This window comes from Homo sapiens, chromosome 3, assembly GCF_000001405.40.
Source record: "Homo sapiens chromosome 3, GRCh38.p14 Primary Assembly".
In the NCBI taxonomy this organism is placed as follows: domain Eukaryota; kingdom Metazoa; phylum Chordata; class Mammalia; order Primates; family Hominidae; genus Homo; species Homo sapiens.
In genome coordinates this window covers 121,795,451-121,820,334 of record NC_000003.12, presented here as the reverse complement: position 1 = coordinate 121,820,334, position 24,884 = coordinate 121,795,451, and the positions used below count along the sequence as shown (strand labels likewise).

Genomic DNA, 24,884 nt, shown 5'->3' with positions numbered 1-24,884 from the left:
AGGCAAAGAAGTTGAGGCCATTTTTAATTTTTTAATAAATATTTGTCATCTCGAAGAGATGAATTTGCTAGGTGCTCTACCTGCCATTTAAATAATTTAAGTAGTGATGTCTAGTACATGGCCTCATGGTCTGTTCTGCATGGTATAATATGGTAGCCATTAACCCTGTGTATCAGTTGAGCAATTGAAATGTACCTTTGTAACTGAGACTGAAAATTTTATTTAATTTTAATTATTTTAAATTTAAAAATTGATGATCAATTCTGTTAGGAAACTTAAGTGTGTTTGGAACAACTTGAGTATGTGAATCTACTTTTACAACTGTAAGTTTTATAAAATCTAAATACATACCAAGAATTTCTAATGAAAATTTAGCCTCCAAGTAGAGATCTGCTCCAAGTATAAATATTCACCAGATTTCAAAGAAATACCAAAAATTTTTTATATATATTCCATGCTAAAAATGCTAATATAAAATATATTGTTATTTGTTTTACCTATTTCTTTTTACTCTTTAAAAACATTGCTACTAGAAAACTTAACATTATCTAGATGGCTCACATTATATTTCTATTGGATGGCAACACTATAGAGTTAGATTACTCATGAGTAAAAATCATTCAAAATTCAGCATGATATTTGTTTCAGGTATGCTCATTCTCTTAAAACAAGACTAATAAAGTTGAAAAAGCATAATTATTAATCATTAATTACTATGTTTAATAAGTACATAATTGGGTATAAGATATTAAAAATATGAATAACTAGATACTTTTAGGTACTTATTGCATTATTCTTTATGTCAGGGGTCCCCAGCCCCCAGGCCACAGACTAGTACTCATCCATGGCCTGTCAGAAACCCAGCCACACAGGAGGAAGTAAGTGACGGGCAAGTGAGTGAGCAAAGCTTCATCTGTATTTACAGCCACTCCCCATTGCTCACATTACCGCCTGAGCTCTGCCTCCTGTCAGATCAGCGGTAACATTAGATTCTCATAAGAGCATAAATCCTATTGTGAACTGTGCAGGTGAGGGATCTAGGTTGCAGGCTCATTATGAGAATCTAATGCCTGATGATTTGTCACTGTCTCCCATCACTCTCAGATGAGACTCTTTAGTTGCAGGAAAACACGCTCAGGGCTTCTACTGATTCTACATTATGGTGAGTTGTATAATTATTTCATTATGTATTACAATGTAATAATAATATAAATAAAGCACACAATAAATGTAATGGGCTTGAATCATCCCCAAAACATCCTTCCCCTTGACCCCCTAGTTCATGGAGAAATTATCTTCCATGAAACCGGTCCCTGGTGCAAAAAAGGTTAGAGACCACTGCTTTAAGTAATTTTAAACACAGTTCTCTAACTTTAAGTTGATTTTCCTTATTGAAAGGCGCTTTTAAAAGTTGCTGTTTGCTTCCACCCTCACAACATATTTCCAGTTTATTTACTTAGCTTCAGATTTAGGTCCTCTTAAGCTTTGTCTGAATGCCTAGCTTCTGACTGCCTTCTAAATTTAACTTTTTCTTCATTTACACACTGATTCTAGGTGCCTTTCTGGTTCTTATTCGTGGTCATCTTCTGACCTTTATTGCCTGCACCTGCATGCATTTGACATATAGATATTATAATCTCTCTTTTAAAATCTGTTCAGGTTTTTTTGGTAATACTTATCAATTATCAATCAGTCTCTTGCTTGTTTTCTTGTTTGTTTTTCCTAAAAGTGTTTACTCTCTCCTTTGGGCTCTATCTTCAAGTTGTCTAATAACTACAAGCTCACATGTCTTTAGTACTACCTTGACTTCTAGCTGCTGGGCCCTGCCCTAAGTCCGGTTTACTTACATGCTTCTCTCTTCTTTTGGCATCCCTGTTTGAAGACAGTTTCTTAGCTCCATATGGGGAATGTAGCAGGATTATTTTGCTCCAAGCTGTCATTTGATTTTTTAAAAAATGATATTTCCTCACTAGGTACCCGCAAGTGGGAATCCAAAAATAAGTAATGAGAAGAGTGGAACTGGGCATTAATGAATACATTATATTAATATGCAAACTATTTTTACCTTTTGACAGCAGAGGTTCATCTTAGAATTTATAAGAAGTGATAAGTCTACAAGGCTGAAACTCCTTTACCTTAGAAGAGTTCTTGGCTATATGTACATTTGGGCCTACTACTATATCAGAGCTTGAGCAGATTCACAACTGTTGTCAATTATGGACAGATATTAATAACTCAGTCACTTGACTTACTCTGTTCAGGCTGCTGTAACAAAATACCATAGACTTGGTGACTTAAAGACATTTATTTCTTATAGTTCTGGAGACTAAGAAGTCCAAGATCAAGAAGCCAACAGATCCACTTCCTCATGGGGCCCACTTCCTGGCTTGCAGACAGCCACTCTCTTGTGTGCTCACATGACCTCCTGCTTGTGTTTGTGTGGAGAGGGAGAGGGAGCTCTCTTGTCTCTTTCATGTCTTTTCCTTCTTTCTTTCTTTCTTATAAGGGCACTAATCCCATCCTGAGGACACCACCATCATGACCCAATCTACACCTCCAAAGTCTCCACCATCACATTAGAGGTTAGGGTTTCAACATATGAGTTTTCAGGGACACAAACAGTCCATAATGATCACCAGGTTATATTAAGTTCTATTTATGGTGCTTTGAGTATATAAAGAATAGACACAGTCTTACATTTAAGGAATTCCCAGGCTAATAGAGTAGAAAAGGTCTTAGCCATTTTTAATAGAAAACCTAAAATAGATGTATTTTTAGTTTAAGAATTTTTCTTTAATTAGAAGAATGAAATTGAATGAGAGGTATAATAGTACAGACAACCTGCTGCTTTGAGTATAAGAAATACTGTTGGCAGACAATTTCTTTTTCTTTTCTTTTCTTTTTTTTTTATTATACTTTCAGTTCTGGGATATATGTGCTGGATGTCCAGGTTTGTTACATGGGTATACATGTGCCATGGTGGTTTGCTGTACCCATCAACTCGTCATGTAGGTTTTAAGCCCTGCATGCATTAGGTATTTGTCCTAATGCTATCCCTCCCCTTGCTCCCTACCCCCTGACAGGCCACAGTGTGTGATGTTCCCCTCCCTGTGTCCATGTGTTCTCATTGTTCAACTCCCGCTTATGAGTGAGAACATGCAGTGTTTGGTTTTCTGTTCCTGTGTTAGTTTGCTGAGAATGATGGTTTCCACCTTCATCCATGTCCCTGCAAAGGACATGAACTCATTCTTTTTTATGGCTGCATAGTATTCCATGGTGTATATGTGCCACATTTCTTTGTCCAATCTATCATTGATGGGCATTTGGTTTGGTTCCAAGACTTTGCTGTTGTAAATAGTGCTGCAGTAAACATACGTGTGCATGTGTCTTTATAGTAGAATGATTTATAATCCTTTGGGTATATATCCAGTAATGGAATAGCTGGGTCAAATGGTATTTCTGATTCTAGATCCTTGAGCAGTCGCCACACTGTCTTCCACAGTGGTTGAACTTACATTCCCACCAACAGTGTAAAAGCGTTCCTATTTCTCCACATCCTCTCCAGCATCTGTTGTTTCCTGACTTTTTAATGATCGCCACTCTAACTGGAGTGAGAGGGTATCTCATTGTGGTTTTGATTTGCATTTCTCTAGTGACCAGTAATGATGAGCTTTTTTTCATATGTTTGTTGGCCCCATAGATGCCTTCTTTTGAGAAGTGTCTATTCATATCCTTCACCCACTTTTTGATGGTTTTTTTTCTTGTAAATTTGTTTAAGTTCCTTTTAGATTCTTGATATTTGACCTTCATCAGATGGGTAGATTGCAAAAATTTTTTCCTATTCTGTAGGTTGCCTGTTCACTCTGATGATAGTTTCTTTTGCCATGCAGAAGCTCTTTAGTTTAATTAGATTCCATTTGTCTATTTTGGCTTTTGCTGCAATTGCTTTTTGTGTTTTAGCCATGAAATCTTTGCCTATGCCTATGTCCTGAATGGTATTGCCTAGGTTTTCTTCTAGGGTTTGTATGGTTTTAGGTCTTATGTGTAAGTCTTTAATCCATCTTGAGTTAATTTTCATATAAGATGTAAGGAAGGGGTCCAGTTTCAGTTTTCTGCGTATGGCTAGCCAGTTTTCCCAGCACCATTTATTAAATAGGGAATCCTTTCCCTATTTCTTGTTTTTGTCAGGTTTGTCAAAGATCAGATGGTTGTAGATGTGTGGTGTTATTTCTGAGGCCTCTGTTCTGTTCCATTGGTCTATATATGTGTTTTGATACCAGTACCATGCTGTTTTGGTTATTGTAGCCTTGTATAGTTTGAAGTCAGGTAGCATGATGCCTCCAGCTTTGTTCTTTTTGCTTAGGATTGTCTTGGCTATACGGGCTCTTTTTTTTTTTTTTTTTTTTGGTTCCACATGAAATGTAAAGTAGTTTTTTCTAAATCTGTGAAGAAAGTCAATGGTAGTTTGATGGAAATAGCATTGAATCTATAAATTACTTTGGGCAGTATGGCCATCTTCACGATATTGATTCTTTCTATCCATAAGCATGGAATTTTTTTTCCATTTGTTTGTGTCCTCTGTTATTTCCTTGAGCAGTGTTTTGTAGTTATCCTTGAAGAGGTCCTTCATGTCCCTTGTAAGTTGTATTCCTAGGTATTTTATTCTGTTTGTAGCAATTGTGAATGGGAATTCACTTATGATTTGTCTCTGTGTTTGTCTATCATTGGTGTATAGGAATGCTTGTGATTTTTGCAGATTGGTTTTGTATCTTGAGACTTTGCTGAAGTTGCTTATCAGCTTAAGGAGGTTTTGGGCTGAGACGATGGGGTTTTCTAAATATACAGTCATATCATCTGCAATCAGAGACAATTTGACTTTCTCTCTTCCTATTCGAATACACTTTCTTTCTCCTGCCTGATTGCCCTGGCCAGAACATCCAATACTATGTTGAATAGGGGTGGAGAGAGTGGGCATCTTTGTCTTGTGCTGGTTTTCTAAGGGAATGCTTCCAGCTTTTGCCCATTCAGTGTGATGTTGGCTGTGGGTTTCTCATAAATAGTTATTATTGTTTTGAGATATGTTCCATCGATACCTAGTTCATTGAGAGTTTTTAGCATGAATGGGGTGTTGAATTTTATTGGCGGCCTTTTCTGCATCTATTGAAATAATCATGTGATTTTTGTCATTGGTTCTGTTTATGTGATGGATTACTTTTATTGATTTGCATGTGTTAAACCATCCTTGCATTGAGTGATGAAGCCGACTTAATCATAGTTGATAAGTTTTTTGATGTGCTGCTGGATTCGGTTTGCCAGTATTTTATTGAGGATTTTCGCATTGATGTTCATGAGAGATACTGGCCTGAAATTTTCTTTTTTTGTGGTGTCTGTGACAGGTTTTGGTATCAGGATGATCCTGCTCTCAGAAAATGAGTTAGGGAGGAGTCCCTCTTTTTGTATTGTTTGGAATAGTTTCAGAAGGAATGGTACCAGCTCCTCTTTGTACCTCTGGTAGAATTCAGCTGTGAATCCGTCTGGTCCTGGGCTTTTTTTGGTTGGTAGGCCATTAATTACTGCCTCAATTTCAGAACTTGTTATTGGTCTATTCAGGGATTCAGCTTCTTCCTGGTTTAGTCTTGGGAGGGTGTATGTGTCCAGGAATTTGTCCATTTCTTCTAGATTTTCTAGTTTATTTGTGTAGAGGTGTTTATAGTATTCTCTGATGTTTGTATTTCTGTGGGATCAGTGGTGATATCCCCTTTATCATTTTTTATTGTGTCTATCTGATTCTTCTCGCCTTTCTTTTTTATTAGTCTGGCTAGCGGTCTATTTTGTTAATCTTTTCAGAAAACCAGCTCCTGGATTCATTGATTTTTTGAAGGGTTTTTCGTGTCTCTATCTCCTTCAGTTCTGCTCTAATCTTAGTTATTTCTTGTCTTCTGCTAGCTTTTGAATTTGTTTGCTCTTGCTTCTCTAGTTCTCTTAATTGTGATGTTAGGGTGTCGATTTTAGATCTTTCCCACTTTCTCCTGTGGGCATTTAGTGCTGTAAATTTCCCTCTACACACTGTTCTAGCTGAGTCCCAGAGATTCTGGCACATTGTGTCTTTGTTCTCATTGGTTTCAAATAACTTATTTATTTCTGCCTTTGGTTATTTACCCAGTACTCATTCAGGAGCAGCTTGTGCCGTTTCCATGTAATTGTGTGGTTTTGAGTGAGTTTCTTAATCCTGAGTTCTAATTTGATTGCACCGTGGACTGAGACTGTTTGTTATGATTTCTGTTCTTTTGCATTTGCTGAGGAGTGTTTTACTTCCAATTATGTGGTCGATTTTAGAATAAGTGCGATGTGGTGCTAAGAAGAATGTATATTCTATTTATTTGGGGTGGAGAGTTCTGTAGATGTCTATTAGGTCCGCTTGGTCCAGAGCTGAGTTCGAGTCCTGAATATCCTTGTTAATTTTCTGTCTCATTGATCTGTCTAATATTGACAGTGGGGTGTTAAAGTCTCTCACTATTATTGTGTGGGAGTCTAAGTCTCTTTGTCGGTCTCTAAGAATTTGCTTTATGAATCTGGGTGCTCCTGTATTGGGTGAATATATATTTAGGATAGTTAGCTCTTTTTGTTGCATTGATCCCTTTACCATTACATAATGCCCTTCTTTGTCTTTTTTGATCTTTGTTGGTTTAAAGTCTGTCTTATCAGAGACTAGGATTGCAACTCCTGCTTTTTTTTGCTTTCCATTTGCTTGGTAAATATTCCTGCATCCCTTTATTTTGAGCCTATGTGTGTATTTGCATGTGAGATGGGTCTCCTGAATACAGCACACAGATGGGTTTAGACAGTTTATACAATTTGCCAGTCTGTGTCTTTTAATTGGGGCATGTAGCCCATTTACATTTAAGGTTAATATTGTTATGTGTGAATTTGATCCTGTCATTATGATGCTGGCTGGTTATTTTGCACATTAGTTGATGCAGTTTCTTCATAGTGTCATGGGGCTTTGTATTTTGGTATGCTTTTGCAGTGGTTGGTACCAGTTTTTAATTTCCATATTTAGTGCTTCCTTCAGGACTCTTGTAAGGCAGCCCTGGTGGTGACAAAATCTCTCAGCATTTGCTTGTCTATAAAGGATTTTATTTCTCCTTCATAAGCTTCATAAGCTTAGTTTGGCTAGATATGAAATTCTAGGTTGAAAATTATTTTCTTTAAGAGTGTAGATTATTGGCCCCCACTCTCTTTTGGCTTGTAGGGTTTCTGCAGAGACATCCGCTGTTAGTCTGATGGGCTTCCCTTTGTAGGTAACCTGACCTTTCTCTCTGGCTGCCCCTAAGATTTTTTTCCTTCATTTCAACCTTGGAGAATCTGACAATTAAGTGTGTTGGGGTTACTATTCTCGAGGAGTATCTTAGTGGTATTCTCTGTATTTCTTGAATTTGAATGTTGGCTTGTCTTGCTAGGTTGGGGATGTTCTCCTGGATAATATCCTGAAGTGTTTTCCAACTTGGTTCCATTCTCCCCATCACCTTCAGGTACACCAAGCAATCGTATGTTTGTCTTTTCACATAGTTCCATATTCCTTGGAGGCTTTGTTCATTTCTTTTCATTCTTCTTTCTCTAATCTTGTCTTCACACTTTATTTCATTAAGTTGATCTTCATTCTCTTATATCCTTCCTTCTGCTAGATCAATTTGGCTATTGATACTTGTGTATGCTTCATGAAGTTCTCATGCTGTGTTTTTCAGCTCCATCAGGTCATTTATGTTCTCCTAAACTGGTTATTCTAGTTAGCAATTTGTCTAACCTTTTTTCAATGTTCTTAGCTTCCTTACACTGGGTTAGAACATGCTCCTTCAGCTCAGAGGAGTTTGTTATTACCCACCTTCCGAAGCCTACTTTTGTTAATTATCAAACTCATTCTCAGTCCAGTTTTTGCCCTTGCTGGGGAGGAATCGCGATCATTTGGTGGAGAAGAGGCGTTCTGGTTTTTGGAATGTTCAGCCTTTTTGTGCTGGTTTTTCCTCATCTTCATGGATTTGTCTACCTTTGATCTTCGATGCTGATGACCTTTGGATGGGGATTTTGTGTGGGTGTCCTTTTTGTTGATGTTGATGTTATTGCTTTCTGTTTGTTAGTTTTCCTTCTAACAGGTCCCTCTTCTGCAGGTCTGCTGGAGTTTGCTGGAGGTCCACTCCAGACCCTGTTTGCCTGGGTATCAGCAGCAGAGGCTGTAGAACAGCAAATATTACTCACACCTCCTTCCTCTGGAAGCTTCGTCTCAGAGTGGCACCTGCCTGATTCCTGCCAGAGCTCTCCTGTTTGGAGGTGTCTCCCAGTCTGGAGGCACAGGGTCAGGGACCCACTTGAGGAGGCATTCTGTTCCTTAGCAGAGCTCTAGCACTAACAAATTCAAATTCAGTATATCAACTGTGCTGGGAGATGCGCCGCTCTCTTCAGCGCTGGCAGGCAGGAACATTTAAGTCTGCTGAAACTGCACCCACAGTCTCCCCTGTCCCCAGGTGCGCTGTCCCAGGGAGATGGGAGTTTTATGTATAAGCCTCTTACTGGGGCTGCTGCCTTTGTTTCAGAGATGACTTGCCCAGTGAGGAGGAATCTAGAGAGGCAGTCTGGCCACAGCTGCCTTGCTGTGCTGCAGTGAGTTCCACCCAGTCCAAACTTCCCAGTGGCTTCCTTAACACTGTGAGGGGAAAACTGCCGACTCAAGCCTCAGTAATGGTGGATGCCCTTCCCACCACCAAGCTCAGTTGTCCCAGGTTGGTCGACTTCAGACTGTTGTGCTGGGAGCGAGAATTTCAAGGCAATGGTTCTTAGCTTGCTGGTCTCCGTGGGAGTGGGACCCGCTGAACAAGACCTCTTGGCTCCTTGGTTTCAGACCCCTTTCCAGGGGAGTGAACAGTCTGTCTTGCTGGGGTTTTAGCCACCACTGAGGTACAAAAAGAAACTCGTGCAGCTAGCTCAGTGTCTGCCCAAACAGCTGACCAGTTTTGTGCTTGAAACCCAGGGCCCTGGTGGTTTAGGCACACAGGGAATCTCCTGGTCTGTGGGTTGCAAAAACCATGGGAAAAACGTAGTATCTGGGCCAGATAGCACAGTCCCTCCCTTCCCTTGGCTAGGGGAGGGAGGTCCCCAGCCCCTTGCACTTCCCAGGTGAGGCAATGCCCCACTCTGCTTCTGCTTGCCATCTGTGGGCTGCGCCCATTGTCTAACCAGTCCCAATGAGATGAACTGGGTACCTCAGTTGGAAATGCAGAATCACTGCCTTCTGCATTGCTATTGCTGAGAGCTTCAGACCAGAGCTGTTCCTCTTCAACCATCTTGCCAGATCCCCCTGGCAGAGAATTTAACTCAGTGGTAGAGCATATGTGTTCCATGTAACAGGTTACAAATTCCATTTCTGATATCTCCACTGGCATTTTGTGGGATGTTAGCACTAAATAAATATTTGCTAGATTTAGTTTAATTCAGGTTAGTTGAAGCCACATAAACTATAGGAATTGTGTTGGATTTGATTTCTTTTGCTGGCTGTGCCACAAACTAACTCTAGGTTCTATAGCAAATCACTGGATTTCACTGTATCTCATTTTCCTCATTTGTAAAATAATTTCTGTCCCATTAATAGCTCAGACCATTATGTAAGCTTTATCTTTTCTTCAAAGCACCTTTATTTAATATTCCTATTTAAGAGCATTAATAATTCTTTTTCCTTATATATTATTAAAATTATGTATTAATATGTTATGTATTTGTATATTACTTTCATTATAAATATACTTATTCAGTTAATTATTTTCATTTATAGAATCCTTAATACTTTTCATAATATTTTTCTGTCCTTTATTATTGTATTTTTATTGAGATAAAGATTCTTTAATGTTATCCAAGAATTAATTGGCTACAGAAAAAGTAAGGCCACTTAACCACAGGGCAAAATTAAAACAGGGGCATAAAAAAGATGTGGCAAAAACTTGAATTAATTTATTAGTCTATTTACCTAGGAGCTTTTCAATCAGATTTTTGTTTTAATTAGATAGTACATAGTTAGTAGATCATATGGTGGGACATACACGTTCTGACCTAAAATACAAAGTGGTTTTGTGTGAGTATATGTGAGAATTTCGATTTAAAGGTAAATTTTGTTAACCTGCCTCAAGAACCATGAATTTGTGGGTGACATTATCTAATGTGCATTTTAAGGAAAGTAGGAAGTCTAAGAGTACAACACTATCTTTTGGGATTGACAACAATGAGAATTACCATGCCCTTTCTGATGTATCTTTAGGTAAAACTCTGGCAAAGGTAGCTTCCTGAACTAAAAGGATAAAAGGATTCTTGCTCTAATGTGACGTTTCTTATGGGTTTTTTTTTTTTCCATTGTTATATTCAAGTCAGCACTTGTCCTAGAATATTCCTAGGATATTAGGAAAAAAATACTTTCATTATTATAAAGAATAATCATGGCAATCATAATATTTTTGCGGGTCTCATCATTACTTTTGTGCTATAGTACAAACATTCAGGACATGGATAAGATTAGTGACCTTTATCCAACATTCCACTAAAGTTACATGGCCAATAAATGACAAAATTGTAAATGGAATCTATACTTCTTATTTCTCCTTGTGGCACTCTAATTTATAATAATTTCTCACCCTACTTTCCAGAAAGGAAGAGCCAGAAAAAACTGTCATTTATTTGTTGACTAAATGTTGATTGAACATTTACTATGTGTCAGAACTGTCCTAGAAACTGAGTTTGTATGGGGAGCTAAATGACACGATCTTTGCCCTCCTAAACTTATGAGTAGAAACTGGAACTGAAATACACTATTAATAATGCTTCTCATGCTGACATCTACATTTGCATATTGCAGTTATTTTCACCCAAGTTGTAAAACCAAATCAACCACCTAACTTTGTGCAAGTACAGATATCCAGACTGCCTTTGGAGATTCAAATTCAGTATATTTGAACTAAAGCTTGTGCATAGATGTATTTAAAAAGCTCAACAGGTGATTCTGATGCATAGCAAGTATTAAGACATCCTAGTGTATCAACTTGTAGCCCTTACACTACTTATGTTGTTTTATTTTATCTGGATAACAACCATTTCTAGTAGATATTACTATCCTGTAACCACAAGTTTTACAAATTAAGAAACTAAAGGCAACAAAATCATGTCCCTCATAAATAGCTAAGTTAGATCCAGAAACTGTATCCTCTAACTCCCCAGAGAGAAGTCTCCTTAAAAAAAAAAAAAAGGAAAAAAACTATAGAAAAGTAAACTGGGCTTATCTTTTATGTTAAGGCTGAAGAAAAAGATGAATTACTACACTTTTTCCAAATTGTGACTGATTCTCTCTTCTGGCTTTTGGGAGGCCATGTTGAACTTATTCAGAATGGTAAGAGAAAAGATTTTAATGTAACTAATAGCTATTGTAGAGTCAACTGCTAACAGTTTGATCGTTTTTTCCAAAAACAAATGCCACATGAACTGTGCAGATAACCACACTGAAATGAAACCATGTTGAAATAAGCTCACAATTTTTTAAAATGGATATTCCAGTTTTACATAGCCTACATCAACAATGTGAATATTAAATTAAGGAGAATACTGTTGAAATAAAACTTTAGCTTTTTCTGTTTAGCAAATCTAAGATAAAGACAAATGATAATTTGAGCAGTTTATTCCTAAAAATAACTTTTAAGTTTAAAAGATTACAGTCAGTGTTTTAGACCTATCATGAGAGAAATCCCTATGTTCAGGGTGGATATGATTTAACTCATATAGTCTAACTATCCAAGTAAGAGTAAGCTTTTATTTAATGACCTTTTAGTAAACTTGGAAGTTATAGGATATTTCTGTTTACATTGAGAGATATAAACATGTATGAGTTTTATGTTTTCTTAAGACTGAAAAAATAATTCTTAGTTACATTCATGGTGCTCTCCCTAGAAAAATTTCATCTAATATAGATGTAACACTCTTAAGAATATTTTTTAAGTAATACTTGAACTGAAATTTTACTTTAAGCTTTTCTCCTCAGAATCATTGCATGCACATAATTTAAAGAGTCAAATAGTTCTGTAAGGATCATTAAAACACACACAATCCCTGACCCTCATGCCCACTCCATTTCCCATTTTCCAAAGGCAACTACGTTCAGTTAGTATAACTAATACCTTTGGTAGTTATGCTCAGTTATTGAGCATGGAATGGAATGGAAACTGACATTTATTAGAAATGTTCCCTGTTCTAGGATATTTTACATTAGCTCATGTGAGAGCTATTATTTCTAGTTTTACAGATGAAGAAATGGTTTCTAAGAGGTTAAGCAACTTGTATAAGTATCCAGTGCTAAATCGTTATAACTGGCTGCTCAGAGCTTAAAGATTACAAATCAATAAAAGGAAATTTTTGTAGTTAGCGTATTCATTATTATATAAAACAATATGTCACAAAATTAAATTTTTTAAGGTTGTGAGCAACCAATTATAGTCATCTGTGCCATTTCCGTTTCCTTATATTCTGTCTTTGCAGGAAATTTGTTTTTATTCACTGAAATTCATTGATAGAAGAAAAAGATTCAGATTTAGGATATGATATTTTCAATTTAAAGAGATAACAATAGATTCTTAGCTTAGTATTTATGCCTATTTTCTGACTATATTCATAAAAATGAAATGACTTATTTATCGCTATTTAAAATTGCCATGAATTTTACATCTTAAAGTCTTCTTTATCGTAGAGTCTACAAAGTCAGAAAGTTTAGCAGAGATGGTCATGCTTTGATTTGGTTTGAAAAGAACAAAATCTTCCTTTGTTATCATAAAATCTTTACTTTAATCTTTCTTTTTTTTTCTTTTCCTTTAGTACTACAAAGTGATCATTTCTTACATTTACTGCAAGCTGACAATGTCCAAATAGGATCTGCAGTCATGATGATGCTACAGAATATACTACAGATCAACAGGTGACTTGGTTTTTACAAAATGTTACTGCTTTTTTTTTATCAGAAGCATTACCAATTTTATTCCAATTTTGCTAAAATTGACCGCATATGATTTGTATATAATGTATATACAAGTATATGCACTATATACTCGTATATAATGTATATACAAGTATATGCACTATATACTTGTATATAATGCTGAAGTTCCATCACCATTGTCTTTCAGAAAAATTAATATAAAATACTACAAAAGACTGGAAATTTATTATTAAATTGATACCTTATACCAGAGCTTAAGATTTTTAGCTCAAATCTCAGGCTTAAAGAAGAGAATTAGTGTGATAATCTGAAGAAAAATATTGAGATCACAACAAAAAATGTTTAATCACATTTATTTAATAAACTTCAAGCTTGGTATTTTTACAGATGCTCAAGAAGGGTATAAAAGAAGCAATTGGCAATTATTCAGGGTAACATGGAAGGGCAGAGTATACACAATTGAAATAATCCATTCTTTCAGTTTAGTATGAATTTATTATGCAGCTGCTGTCTGTCATTGCAATTATAGAGTTGATTAAGATATAAACCTTGTCTTCAAAGAGCTTACAATAGAATGGAAAACACAAACATCATTGTATACATTAAATTACAATATTAAAAGTGACCATAAATGTTAAAGGACCTTCTAACCCAAACCGAGGGGAGGTGCTTCCTGGAGAAGGTAATATCTGAGATGAAACTTCAAGGATGGTATATTGGCCAGGGAGGAAGAGGAGAAAGAGAAAGCAGTAATTCCAGGCAACATAAACAAAAGCACAGAGATAAGAAACAACATGCTGAGGATGAAAAGTAGGTACAAATTCATTATTGTTGGGATATAAAGTTCCATATAGGGAGGTGACTAGCAAGCTCGGCTGAGACTCAAAGTCATGAAGAATTTATATGCTGTGTTGAGGAAACGGAGTCTAATCCTATAGGCAACGGGGACCATTGAAGATTTTTAAAGTAGACGAAAGTGGTCAGATTACATTTCAATTTTGTTACTCTGGTGACTATGTGAAGGTAGATTAAGGGGAAGAAAACTCTAGACACAAAAGGCAATCATACTAATCCAAGTGAAGTAATGATAACTTGTCCTTGGGCATTGGTACCTGGGATATGGAGGTTTTAAAATAATGAATTAAAATCATCAGGACTTTACTTCCACTTCTGATCAAGATGGAATAGTAGGGATGCATTTATCCTCCCACCTGAAAAAAAGGACAAAAACATGACACATAATTTTTTGAGAAACTGGGTATCAGTCAGTGAAAGAAAGTAAGCCCAGAGAAAAAGGAATAAACAAGGTGAATCTTACAATTGCTCTAACTTACAGTATTGAGAGAGTTTCCAGGTTGAAGTATAGGGAGAGGCATCCCAGCCAGCTTGAGTTGAAGTGATAGAGCTCAGAGTCTGGAGAGAACAAGATAACTAGAGTTCACAAGTCAGAATACTAGAGAAGAGAGCTATACATGTAGAGAACCCCAGAGATCTGCAGAGGGTATCCTTCAAGTATTAAGTAGAGTACTGATCTGCACATTGTAAGGAATACCCAATGCCAGGGAAAACAATAATCCAAAAGGATTAAAAGGAACAGTGCAAGGAGCTCACACAGGGCCAGAAATAGTGCCTGTTTCCAACAGCCAAACTGGAAAGCCTCATAAACAGTGCGTCATTGGGTAGAGTGTTCAGGAAGGTTTTACTCCAGTAGTGAGGAATAATTAGCATTAGAATGAGCACTATTCCAGATCATAAAAGCAAGACCCAAAAGGGTCAAACTGTTTCCAAGTAACTTAACTGCATGTGGTTATTGAACCTGGCTGTATTTTAAAATTAATTTTATTGTAGGTTATACAAAGGTAGGAAGTTCACTAGAAATGGCTATCCTTCGATTTGGCTTTAAAAAGGATGAGAAAAATCCCACTTGTGCCATCATAGAATATTTGCTTTGATGACTCTTTTTTTCTATTTCTTTATTACTGTAAAATGACTATTTCTTGCAGTTACTGATAACTACTTGCAGTACTGCATGTATCTTGCAGTACTGATACATGATAGATTATACAGTCATGACTATGCTACAAAACATACTACGATTCAACGGGTGATTTGATTTTACTGGTACTGAAGTACTGGGCATGCAAATAAACAAGAAAACAGGATCTAAAATGAGAAGAATTAATCAAGACTGGTACATATGTTGGAATTAACAGACAAGGACACTAGTTATTATAACCATACTCCATATATTTAAAAAGTTGAATACAGACATATAAGACTCAAAGTGAATTTCTAGACATGAAATCTACAATATCTGAGATGAAAAATACACTGGATGGGATTAACAGCAGATTAACATTGCAGATTAGTGAACTTTAAGGCGTATCAGTAGAAACTATCCAAAATGAAACAAAGAAGAAACAAGAGGAAAGAAAAGCATATCAGTGAACTGTGGGACAACTTGAGCAACCTTACATAAGTGTAATCAGAGTACGTAAAGCAGGCAGTAGGGTCACAAAAAAATGTGTGAAGAAGTAATGACTTAACATTTTCCAAATTTGATGAAAACTATAAACATGCAGATGCAAAAAGGTCGTCAAACCCTGAGGGCAATAAATATGAAGAAAATTCCACATTGAGGCACATCGTAATCAAAATGCTCAAACCAGTGATAAAGAGAAAAATCTTAAAAGCAACCAGAGATGAAAAAACATTATATAGAGAAATAGAGATAAGGATGACAGCAACTTTCTTATCAGAAACAACACAAGTAAAAAGACAGTTGAATACTGAAAAAGAAAACTGTCAAATTAGAATTACATGCTCAGCAGAAATATATTCAAAAGCAAAGATGAAATACTTCTTCAGAAATCACCAGCAGACCAACACTACAAAAAATATTCAAGGAAGTCCTTCCATCAGAAGGGAAATTCATCTACACAAAGAAATAGAGTATCGGAAATGGTGATTACATAAACATATAAGATAGTTTTTCTTATATTATTTTAATATATCTATAATATGTTTGCCTACACAAAAATAATGCTGTATTTGAGGAACATATGTATAAGTAGAATGTATTCCAAAAGGGCATTAAGGCTGGGAGGAGATAAATGGAAGTATACTGATGTAAGACTCTTATACTATACATGAAGTGGTATAATATCACTGTGATAAGTGATAAGACTGTGAGAAATTGAAATGTATACTTTGAACCTCAAAGCAGTGAAGAAAATAGCAAAACAAAGAATTTACAGCTGATAAGCCAACAAAGGCAATAAAAATTAATCATTAAAAAATACGCAATCCAGAAGAAGGAAGTAAAAAAAAAAGAAGAACAAAGGAGAAACAAAACCAAGTGGTAGATTTAAACCTATCTATCTTAGATGTAAATGTGGAAAAACTAAAGTTAAAAGACAGATTGACAGATTGGATTTAAAAAGTACAAGCCTACTATATGCTGTCTACCAGAAATGCACCTTAGATATAAAGACACAAGTAGGTTAAAAGTAATGGGGTGGAACAAGATATACCGTGCTTATACCACAGAAAGTTGAAGTACCTGTATTAGTATCAGATAAAGTAAGTTACAGAACAAAGAATATTTCTAGTGCTAAAGAAGGTTATTTCATAATCATAAAAAAAGTCAGTTCATCAAAAGGATGTGTTTATTGACCTAATAGAGTTTTAAAATACACAAGCAAAAATTGACAAGAACTACAAGGAGAAATCCTCAATTAAAGCAAAAGATGTTAATATACCTCTTTTGATATTTAATAGAATAAGTAGACAAAAAAATTAGTATGACCACAGATTTGAACAATAATATCAACCAATCTGACCTGATTGACATTTTACAAATATTCTACCAAACAGTAGCAGAATACATGTTCTTTTCAAATGCAGATGGAACATTTACAAAGAAGGGTGCATATTCCGAGCCATAAATAAAGTCTCAAGAAACACAAAAGGGGCCGGGCACGGTGGCTCACACCTGTAATCTCAGCACTTTGCTGAGGTGAGCAGATCACTTAAGTCCAGGAGATCCAGACCAGCCTGGGCAGCATGGCAAAACCCCATCTCTACAAAAAGTACAAAAAATTAGCTGGGCATGGTGGCAGGTGCCTCTAGTCCCAGCTACTTGGGATGCTGAGGTGGGAGAATCTCTTGAGCCCAGGAAGCAGAGGTTACGGTGAGTTGAGATCACATCACTACACTCCAGCCTAGGCAACAGAGCAAGACCCTGTCTCAAAAAAAAGAAAAAAGCAACGTAAAAGGATTTCAGTTATACAAAGTATGTTCTCTGGCCTCGATGGAATTAAGTTGGAAATTGATGCCAAGAAGATCTCTGAAAAGTCCCCAAATATGTGGGAAATAATAACATTCATCTAAATAACTCACAAGACAAAGGAGAAATCAAAAGTGAAATTAGAAATTATTTTTAAATGAATGGAAATAAAAACAACATGAGAATTTCTGGGGAAATTCTTAATTAAAGCAGAATGATACTTAGGGGAAATTTATATCACTAATGCCTATATATTAGAAAAGAAGAAAAATCTCAAATCATTGACCTCGGCTTTCCCCTTTAAGAAACTAGGAAAAGAAGGGGGAATTAAACTCTAAGCAGAAGAAAGAAAATGATAAAGGTTGAGCAGAAATCAATAAAATTCTAAGCAAACGTGATAGAGAAATAAACCATAAACTGGATCTTTGGGAAGATTGAAGTTTTTTGAGAAAACAAACCATAAACTGGCTCTTTGAGAAGAAACCTGTAGCAAGATTAATATGGAAAGGAAAAGACATAATACAAATGACCAATCTCAGGAATTAGAGAGGTAACATCGTAACAGAGTCTACAAATACTAAAAATATCACAAGGGAATAATATAAACAACTTTATGCTTATAAATTTAACAACTTAGATCAAATGGACAAATTTATTGAAAGACGCAAACTACCAAAATTTACTCAAGGAGCAATAGAGAACCCAAATATACTCTAGATAGCTATAAAAAAAAATTGAATTTGTAGCTAAAAACCTTCCCACAAAGAGAACTCCAGGTCTGGATGGCTTTTTCACTGTGAATTCTATTAAGCACTTCAGGAAGAAATAATAATCTTAAGCAAACTTTTCTAGAAAATCGAAAAGGAGGAAACACTTACAACTCATTCTATAAGGTCAGCATTATCCTGATACCAAAACCAAACAAAGACATTATAAGAAAAGAAAACTACTCATCAGTATATTCATAAACATAGATAGAAATGTTCTGAACAAAATTTTATAAGTCAAATTCAACAATATATTAAAAAGTTAATACGTCATGAATAATTCTGGTTTATCCCGGCATTCAGGGCTGGTTTAATATTCTGAAGTCAGTCATTGTAACTTATGTTAACAAGCTAAAAATGGAAAAAACATACCATCATATCAGTAGATACAGAAAAAGCTTTTGACAAAATCCATTATCTAGCCCTGATTTTAATTAAAAAAAAAAAAAAAAAAAAAGGCCTTGCAGCAAAGTAGTAATACAAGGGAACTTTCTCAGAAAGCAGATCGGTGGTTTCCTGGGCATAGAATGATAGGGAAGGCAACAAGGGAGGAACTACAATGAAATACAAGGAAGCTTTTAGGGGTGATAGATATATTCATTTTCTTGTTTTATGTTGGTGAAACATGTCAAACTGATGAAATTATATGCTTTACATATATGCAGTTTGTTGTATATCAATTATATTTTTAAAAAGCTGTTTAAAACAAAAATTATGATGACTTGGTGAATGTTTTGATATGGGGTAGATAAAATAAATGGTGCAGTCAGATATGATACCAAGTTTTCTGTATTGGGTGATTAGACTGTGGTATGTGGAATATATAAGAAGTTGGTTTTGTGAGACAGATGATTAATTCAATGTTGGTTATGTTGAGTATAGGTAGTTCAACATGCAGTAAAAGTAAGTATCTATATAAAGACTTATACACAAATGTTCATTGAGCTTTATTTGTGAAAAACAAGGACTAGCTAAAACTCAAATGTCCATCAGGTGAATAGGTAAACTAACTTCTGGAAGAGATTGGGACTAGAGTTACAGATTTACAAATCAGCTTATACATGGTAGAGAAAAACATGACAGAAAGTGAGATTAGTAGGAAGTGTGAATACAATGAGAAAATAAATGGCTTGAAAATGGAGTCTTGGGGAATAACCTTTTAGGGTTATACTGGGGAAGTGGAGCCCACAAAGACAAATGAAAAAGAATGGTCAGAAAAGTATGGGTGGAAGGTAGAGGGGAGACCAGAACTTTGTATCACAGAAGCTGAGTAAGTAGAAAGTATCAGATACAAACAAGTCTAGGAAAAGAATCACTTATGGTATATATGTGACTTGACATTTGGGAAGTTATACTGATGAACTTATCAAGGATAGTATAGTGAAATAGTAAAAAATGAAAACTAGATGCAGTGGTTTGAGAAATGAGATGTGAGATAGTGGCAACAGAAATTGGATTAGAAGAGAAGCAGAGAGATAAGATGGTAGTGGTATAGAGAGGATGTCTTTAAGATTAGGAGGTTGAAGAGCATCTAAAAGCATTTAAACTACTGTATTACATTATAGCACAAACTCTTGGTGGGATATGGAGTAAAGATGTGATAAGATTGGGATAGGGATATCTGTAGAAGGCTTTCTGAGATGAGCATATTTTTTAATCTGAGTTTTGAATAGTGTGATGACATTGACTGATGGGACAGGGTGAGCATCCTAGGCATAGGGAATAGCATGTAAGAGACACAGTGGCACAGAAGTAGATGTCACAAAGATTCTCACATATTTTGATTGGATAACTTTATAAAGTCTTTCAACTCAGAGATTTTTACATTTAAGGTATGTTGCTGATCTCTTTTCTCTTAACAAAATTATTTTAGTAACTACTAAAGTACAATTTTCAAAAAGCTCAAACATGAGTCTTATACAAATATAAAATTTGACTGCTCAAAATTTTATGCAACTCATTAATGAGGGAACAAATAAGATATTTATACAGGGTCAAAGGAGAATTTGAGGAAAATAGATTTATGGAGTTGGTTTGTCGAAGAAATGTAGAAGTAAATTTGCTGATAGATTTTTAAAATTTGCTAATAGGAAAATATGACTTATAAAGCAATGTAGCTTCTAGAATTACCTTTTCTACTGGACAGAAATCATTTGTATTGCTTTGAATAAGAGTCTGTTTACATTGCTCTTAGATAAGAATCTTTAGCATTGTTTTCTACCAGCCAACCTCTATTTTTACAGAATTGTAAAGTATTTTAATAGTGAGTAGAAAATTAAACAGAGGTACATACGCCTAGAAAATCACATAACTCCTTAAGGGGGTAAATAAAAGGATACTCACTAACCCTTTCCTTTTGACTATTTCTAAGTTTTAGATAATTTTTCACAACATCAGTAATACAAGATGGGTTGTTAGTATAATGAAGGAAATACCAAGGAAAGATTTTAAGTTTCTCCTATATTAAGCACATGATAGAATTCCTATGGCATTTTTGTCTTTGTACATCATTTAAAAATTAACTGTGTACCTGTCTTGATTTCACTTTTATCATTGCCTTGAAGCTTTTAAATTATTTATTGTTTAGTATTTTGCACATTTATATTTCATCCTTGATTTGATTGCAGGCTTCTCTAAGGAGAAGGCCTTTGGCTACTTTGTATTCTCTATTGTACCTAGCACACATGGCACCTTGCACACAGTAGGAATTCAATAAATATTAAGTGACTGAATATGATATCTTCTTGGAACCAACATATATTTGAAAAAGTGGTTATATTCTTGGATCAGGACACAGTCCGGCATCAAGTTACTGAATCTTATATTTTAGATTTGTTGTGATACCTGTACATCAATTAGTAATGGTACTTTTTTTTTTATTTTGTTCTATTAGTGGTGATTTACTCAGAATAGGAAGAAAAGCCCTGTATTCAATTTTAGATGAAGTTATTTTCAAGCTTTTTTCAACTCCTAGTCCAGTTATAAGAAGTACTGCTACAAAACTCCTACTGTTGATGGCTGAATCCCATCAGGAAATTTTGATTTTACTGAGACAAAGTACCTGCTACAAAGGTAGTACATTCATTCTTTCTTTTCTTGGGATTCTCAAAAAGAAAATTTTTATTGATGGTTTATGAAAAACAAAATTCTTATATTTTAAAGAGTTGATAACTGACCTATGTAGATAAAACTCACAACAGATACCAATTCAGAAAAAAAAAAGTCTTTATATAATCAAGCTATCTTCATGTCACTACAGATAGCATGTGGAAGATACTTTTCTGATCAGGTTGCCATAAATATTTACTCCCTCTCTGACAAAAAGGTTTTGTGTGTTGAATATACCATATAGTATAGTAAAATAATGACCAAAAAGATCAGTGACCTTATCAAGACCAGCTTTAGTGGAGAAAATGGAGCTGTGCTTGAGAGGCCAGTGGCCCTTATGGTATTTTGAACTATCAATAATTACTTAACACTGCCTTTCCTCAAAAACAAACAAAAAAAATTGCCTTACCTCCAAAATCAAATACATATGTGAATTAAAAGTCAGAAATTTTGAGGATAAAAGGAGTAAGCGTATATACATTCTCATATAATAGCTTTCATTTAATTGAGCATTTACTGTGTGTCAGGCACATTCCATATACTTTATATGCATTAAAATGTTTAATCTTTACAACAATCCTATGGGATAGATATTCTTATCCTTATTTTATAGATATAGAAACAGAGACATGGTAATTTGCCCAAGATCACAAAGGTAGTATATATATTGTTTAATTGCCAAGCAAAGTTATATGTTATCTTTGTTTTATTTCTTTGCTGACCAGAGCCATGTATGTATTATAATCTATTTTTCTTATTCAGCGTGGTCAGGAAATGGGATTCTAGTTCATTAAATATACTTATTAACATAGGGTTATACTGTATGGGAATTTTTAAAGGTTAGAATATAATATGATGCATTTAATACCTAAACAACTAGAAAGGTCTTTATCATTCTTGATGATTTTGAAGACATTGTAATAATGTACCTTGAATTAGTCATTACTGAGGGTATTGTAGGAATAGAGAAGGAAAGTACCAGTAATAGAGCTCTTTAGTTGATATTGTGCCAGATAGACATTTTTCAATTCTGTAATTCAATTCCTAAAGAAATGTGAATGTCCAACAGAGTCGTTATAAAGGAATTTTACCTGAATCCTTCTCCCTTTCTTTGACTTATATCTCAATAGCAGAACTTATTCAGATTCCTGAAGATATTTTACAATTATTAATACTGCTGAGAACTTGGGTGTTGAAGAGAGTATAAGGCATTAAAAGATCCATATAGTGGTTTCCCCAATTATACACTACAAGGCAATTTTACCTTATGTATTTATTTTGAATACACACATTATAATACATCATTTCAGTGTACCCTGGAAACAGTACTTACTTTGTACCTTTCACTACTACTATGTATTATTTTGGCATGAAAATGTACTATCCTAGTGTTGTAGCACTTCACCTATAATGTTTTCCCAGGAACCTATTGATTTGCCCCAAATTATATATGTTACCATATGTTTATATTTAATAATCTTTTTCAACTAATAATGACTAATAATAATCTGCATAAGTGCTTCCACAGGGCAAGCATTTACTGAATATGTGTCTGTAGTAATTTATCTTTAAAATGTCTCCATTTAAGTATTTTTGTTCAAATAAAAAAAATTTATCTCTACTTTTTGATTTACCACAGTGATTCCATCCCACTCCTTTTTTTTTTTTTTTATTAAAGAGATTGTCTAGACAGATTTTTTTTTTTTTATCAGATACCACAATTGAGCACGTAAGAATTCTCAGGAGGGAGGAATATCTTAAAGATTTCAACCTGGAATTCTCTGAGAAAAGGAAAAAGAAAAATCATATGATTAATCTTGTTTTCATTTGTTTTTAAGCCAGACTTTTTAGCTTCAAATTAATACTGATTAGATAACAAAATCATATTTTATTATTATAATAATAGTTGTACCTTTTGCTATTCCATTTCAGGACTCAGACGTCTACTAAGTAAACAGGAAACTGGGACTGAATTCAGTCAAGAACTTAGACAGCTTGTTGGCCTTTTAAGCCCAATGGTCTATCAGGAAGTAGAAGAGCAGGTATTAAGTTACAAAAAAAAAAAATTGCATGATATTTGCTGACTATATTAAACCTTAGTTTTCCTTAAATGTTCCTCACTTTCTTTCTCTTAAGATTTCAAGCAAAATACCCCCAAAACAGAAATATCTTTAAATTTTTTACTCAGGAGGTTGAGGCAGGAGGATTGCTTGAGTCCAGGAATTGGAGACTGCCCTATGATCACACCCATGAGTAGCCACTGCACCCCAGCCTGGTCAAAATAGCAAAACCCCATCTTTAAAATATAATGTTACAAAATTGTATCTCTCCGCCATTCAATCTGCTGGAAAACATAATTTCAATCTCCCATTTACATCTGTTTATAAATACTGCCACATCAGTTTCATTCATCATTTCTCATGAAAGCCCCATCTCTGATGTTTATCTTCTTTTATCTATAAGCTATTTAAACTTTTAAAACTGTTTTTCCAAAAAAAATCTCTAATTGTAGCAAACTGTATTTATGGTTACCTATGGCTACCCTTCTTGTTCTTTGAGATACAACAATAATGCCTTTTCCTTTGTGTAAGAAATGGTATTAATAAAATTATTTAGAAATTTGAGGCAGCAAGTTATTGATTATTTCATCATACTTCCTCTAGCATACTCAAAATGATGGCTCTAAATAGCCCATTCAACAGGAAGAGGCATATTGCTTTCTGATTTCCAGATAAAGACTTAAATATGGAAAACATCTAAAATGACTAAAGATATTTTTTAATTTAAAAGGAAAAGGGGACATTGTATATCCAAAATCCAAAACCAAAAAGACAATAAATTTAAAAATACAAGCAGAAACCATGAAAATAAGTCCAGTAAGGCAGGAGAATGGGTTGGGGGAGGCTGGAAGGAAGAGTGCAGAAGAAGGGAATTCCTTTTTTCTGTATATATGAACCATCGTGAGTTTAGATTAATCTCAAAACTATGCATATGCTCAAATTCATATTGATTAGGTAACAAAATCATAAAACTATATTTTATTATTAATAGTTGTACCCTTTGCCATTCCATTTGAGGACTCAGAAGTCTATTAAGTAAACAGGAGACTGGGACAGAATTCAGTCAAGAACTCAGACAGCTCACTGACCTTTTAAGCCCAATGGTCTATCAGGAGAATAGCATATCAAAAGCTTACAGAACTAAACAGAGATTCGAGCAACCATCCACAATGGTCAACAGAGCTTATAGTTTGAACCTAACTAGGTTGATTGCCTATTAAGTAAAAACATTAACATGTTAGCTCAAAAAAGATTATGAAAGGTCAGGCGGACTATGAAATCTTTGAAAAGGAAATGGAAGTGAGATTATTCTGGGAGAATTTGGAGCTAACTAGACTATATCTTGAGTATGTTCTAGAAATTGCCTTACCAAGCCTAACATACCTCCTTTGGGAGGTAAGGTTTAATATTCTTACCCATCTTGTTAGAGCTAGAGATTAATATTTGCCCTAACCTGATACTTTAAGAGGTAAACTTTTTTTTTTTTTTAAAGACCTTCCTAGAGATATCTCTAAATTATTTTCGGCATTTCAGAAACTACATCAAGCAGCATGCTTGATTCAAGCCTATTGGAAGGGTTTTCAGACAAGAAAGAGATTAAAGAAGCTTCCATCTGCTGTGATTGCTTTGCAGAGGAGTTTCAGGTAAAA

General features: G+C 35.0%; 1 protein-coding gene across 10 annotated transcripts in view; it reads left to right on the top strand.

Moving 5' to 3' along the window:
* The window catches only part of IQCB1 (IQ motif containing B1), a 65,300-nt gene that overhangs the window by 14,726 nt on the left and 25,690 nt on the right, over nt 1-24,884 (top strand). For 5 of the 10 annotated variants that reach the window (NM_001319107.2, XM_005247911.5, NM_001023570.4 and 2 more), the window contains 5 exons: nt 11,326-11,419; nt 12,892-12,991; nt 20,961-21,139; nt 23,108-23,217; nt 24,769-24,878. In NM_001319107.2, coding sequence (NP_001306036.1) covers nt 11,326-11,419; nt 12,892-12,991; nt 20,961-21,139; nt 23,108-23,217; nt 24,769-24,878 — 593 coding nt within the window. The remainder of the gene's footprint in view (nt 1-11,325; nt 11,420-12,891; nt 12,992-20,960; nt 21,140-23,107; nt 23,218-24,768; nt 24,879-24,884) is intronic. The other 5 variants (NR_134968.2, XM_047449253.1, XM_017007539.3 and 2 more) reach the window with 3 other exon arrangements.